At 43.1% G+C, this 3,941-nt stretch overlaps 1 protein-coding gene across 7 annotated transcripts in view, besides 1 other annotated feature; it reads right to left on the minus strand.

Moving 5' to 3' along the window:
• The window catches only part of FSD2 (fibronectin type III and SPRY domain containing 2), a 50,708-nt gene extending 50,325 nt beyond the window's left edge, over nt 1–383 (minus strand). For all 7 annotated transcript variants that reach the window (NM_001281806.2, NM_001007122.4, XM_011521235.4 and 4 more), the window contains exon 1: nt 280–383. The gene's annotated coding sequence lies outside the window, so the exon portion shown is untranslated. The remainder of the gene's footprint in view (nt 1–279) is intronic.
• Nucleotides 667–766: an enhancer, noted in NCBI's record as "active region_9966". NCBI's record gives its function as "activates an Ori minimal core promoter by ATAC-STARR-seq in GM12878 lymphoblastoid cells {active_cell/tissue: GM12878}" and the evidence as "EXISTENCE:reporter gene assay evidence [ECO:0000049][PMID:35858748]".

Raw genomic sequence — 3,941 nt, forward strand, 5'->3', positions numbered from 1 at the left:
GCACTACAGATATCCTAAAGACACATTATAAGAATCACCAGCCCCTGTCTGCCTTCATCAGAGCCTCTCACATCCTGTCCCAACATCATGTTCAGTTAATGCGAATTCTTGCTTTAAGAAGGCACAGAAAACATTTACACTATTTATTGTAATTTAAACATCTGCAATTTACCATGATATCTCTTCCCACCTACAGGAAAGATATTGCATTAATATTGCAGCATTGAGTTTCTAATAATACAATTTGCATTGGAAGAATATGACTACCCCAAAACTTGCCTGCTAAGCGTCCATAAATGCTTCCTTTAACTCAGAGGACCTGGAGTTCTGCTAGAAAATTGAATCTGTGTTCAGCAGGCTTTCCTTCCTAGTGACCTCTGCATGCCCCACAGGCTACCCCTGCCTATTTTACACCAGAGTTCTGCAAGTGGGGCACCAAAGCTGGATGGTAACATGAGCTGGCTGCAGCCACAAATAGCAACAGGCCTGCCATGAGTGAAGGTCCAAATATAGACCTGCTGTGGCTGAGTTGCCACTTCTTACTACTCAAGTGTCACCAGGAGAGGTCACATGCCGTGCTCTGAGTTACTTTCTGTGCTGTGAGGGGTTTTAGACTTGTGGCTCTACCATGGGTCTCAGATGGCTGGTCATGTGGAGAGGGCTGGGGACTGTCACGGCAAGACCAGGAAGAAGATTCCTTTTTTTTTTTTTTAAGTGAATGAGTTTCTAAAATTATATGCAAAATTATGTCTGTGTCCTTATAGAATCACTTCCGGGAAGAGAACTCACAGGTTTCAATAGATTCTCAGAGGTGCTCATGAACCATACAAGGTTAAAAAACATTTTGGGGGCACTTTTCTAATCAAAGCACAGGACACACTTCCCATATAAGCCTTAAGCAAACATTATTATTTTTTTTTTTTACTTGCCATGGTATGGCATAGAAATGGGACTATCCAGCCAATACATTCCTTATGGACTATGATTGACTATTTCTCTAAGCTTTAGTTTAATAATTTATAAAATGACAATTTAGTGTTAATGTTCTTTTCTTCCAAAATTCTGACTCTGTTAAGAAGTTGAAAGAGTCTAGGTGTTGAGGAAAAAAGTGAGTGTTAACTGTGGGTGTGTTGCAAAATTCCTACTTTGATGCTGAGCCCACAGACCAGCATAACAGTATAATCTCTCTCTCCTCTCTCTCTCTCACATGCACGCACGCACACACACACACACACACACACAGTGTAATAGTCAGAGTTGTCCAGAGAAACAGAACCAATAGAATGTATACATATATGGAAACAGATTTATCATAAGGAATTGACTCATGTAATTATGAAGACCAAAAAGTCCCAAGATCTGCAGTTAGTAAGCGGAAGATCCAGGAGAGCCAATGGTGTGGTTCTAGTCCAAAGGCCAGCAGGCTCAAGACCCTGGAGAGCCAATGTTTCCATTTGAGTTGGAAGGCAGGAAAAAAACCCATATTCCCACTTGAAGGCAGTTAGGCAGGAAGAATTCCCTCTTATTCAAGCTTTTGTTCTATTCAGACCTTCAATCGATTGGATGAGGCCCACTCACATGAGGGAGGGCAACCAGTTTTACTCAGTCTACTAACTCAAAGGTTAATCTCATCCAGAAACACCATCACACACACACACCCAGAATAATGTCTGACTAAACACCTGGTGACCCAATCAAGTTGACACATTAAAATTAACCATCATACATATATATACATATGCTATAGACAGTTTATATTCCCCTAAAATTCCCATGTTGAAACCAAATCCCCAATGTGATGGTATTTGGAAATGTGGCCTTTGGGAGGTGATTAGGTCATGAAGGCAAGCCCTCATGAATAAAATTAGTGCCATTACATTGGGGGTCCCAGAGAGCTCTTCCATGTGAAGATGCAGTAAGAATACAGGTATCTACGAACCAAGAAGCAGCCCTTCCTTACCAGACACTGAATCTGCTGGTGCTTTAATCTTGGACTTTCCAGCCTCCAGAACCATGAGAAATAAATGTTTGTTGTTTACAAGCCACCCACTCAATGGTATTCTGTTATAGCAGCCTGAATGGACTAAGACATATATTAATATATAGAGAGAGGATAATTTTATTTTTTCTTTTCTTTTTTTTTTGAGGCAGAGTCTCACTGTTTCGCCCAGGCTGGAATGCTGTGGTGCAATCTCGGCTCACTGTAACCTCTGCCTCCTGGATTCAAGCAATTCTGATGCCTCAGCCTCCTGAGTAGTTGGGATTATAGGGCATGCACCACCACGCCCGGCTAACTTTTCTTTTTCTCTCTCTTTTTTTTTTTTTTTTTGGTATTTTTAGTAGAGACGGGGTTTGGCCATTTTGGCCAGGCTGGTCTCGAACTCCTGACTTCAACTGATCCGCCCACCTCGGCCTCCAAAAGTGCTGGGATTACAGGTGTTAGTCACTGCACCCAGCCACCCACGACAATTTTATAATTAGAAAGATTGACAGTTTCCGCTTGAAAAACCAAATAGATAAGAAAACTAACAGAAATAACACAGTATAAAGCAGATAGTAAAAAGATATAATGTGAGGAATATACAAGAAAGATATTTAAAACAGACTGTTAAAAATCATAAGTAACTCATATTAGTTAAAATAGTATATTAAAATAGGGGAAAATCAATCACTTCAGCTAAAAGTTTATCTCTCCAAGAAGACTGAGTGACTGAGTCCCAGGGCCCAATCCCCAACCCTCACACCGGCAGCAGGCATAAAAGGGGAGGGACCTTCAGACAAAGGCACCTTTCCATCTTCAAGTTGCATTCCACAGAGGTTCCTAGATTTCTTGAGGTCATTTTCAAGGCAGAGAGATGCCCTAACTAGAGCTTTAGCTTCGCCCTGATTTTTTCGTTTGCTTATTGTTTACCCTTGGGGATAACAGCAAGTACAAAATCTGATTCCAACTTTTCCCAGCTCAAAACCTTCACAAACACTTTCACTTGTTCCCGAATCAACACCTCACAGGCCTTGCTTTGGCAAACGGCTCCTGATCCCAGCTTCCTGGCATCTCCCTCCTTTCCTCCTCCCATTCCCACCACCTGTCTCAGTGCACTCCCAGGATGGGAGCTGACATGGACTGTATTTCTCAGTCTACACTGCACATTTCCTAGGCAGAGACTAGGGCCGTCTTGGTGCTTGTTGCATGAACAGATTTAGCTCCACCCTGACACGTAAACTGGATTTCCTGATATCTCCTTAAACAGGCCTTCCGTAGCCAGGGGGGCATGTCGAGCCCGAGTGTCGGTGTATCTTAAGTTTGTCTGGGCCTCCGTTTCCTTAACTCTAAAGTGAAGAGTTAGAACACAGATTGTATTTAAACACCCTGGTTGGGAGCTGCAGTGCCCTGAATTCCCCCTCTTACTCCACCCCCTCAATACTGACACACAGCCGACACTCAATAAAAGTTTGTTGAATTGACAAAAATAAATTTGCGGCTTCTTGCCCAGTACTTGGCACTTAGAGGCCCTCAATAAATGACTATCGAGTTTATATTTCATCTCCCCAACGCATTTGTGACATTCTTAAGGGCGTGAACCATGTACTCAATAGGGCCCTGATGATAGAAAAGAAAATCAGCTTGGTCCCTGTTCTCAAGTTCATAGTTTAGTGTGGGAGACTAATACAATAACTCGCCGATTCAACAGATATTTTTCCAACGTCCGTATGTATTGGGTGGAAAAGGTGAGGCAAGAGTTGTATTTCCCAGACTCCTGAACAGGTTGCGAGATGATTGACTCCTGAGGGAGACCTTCTCACCTTTTCATTGGTTGTCGCTGGCCCTCTCGTCTATCACCCAACCAACCCCGAATGCCTCTTGTAAGCCCCACCTCCGGCAGCCAGCCAATCAGAAGTGCCGGGGGCCAGGGTGCTGCTGGGGCACTGACGCGGTTTCGATT

The sequence above is a fragment of the Homo sapiens genome, chromosome 15 (genome assembly GCF_000001405.40).
Source record: "Homo sapiens chromosome 15, GRCh38.p14 Primary Assembly".
NCBI classification, from domain to species: domain Eukaryota; kingdom Metazoa; phylum Chordata; class Mammalia; order Primates; family Hominidae; genus Homo; species Homo sapiens.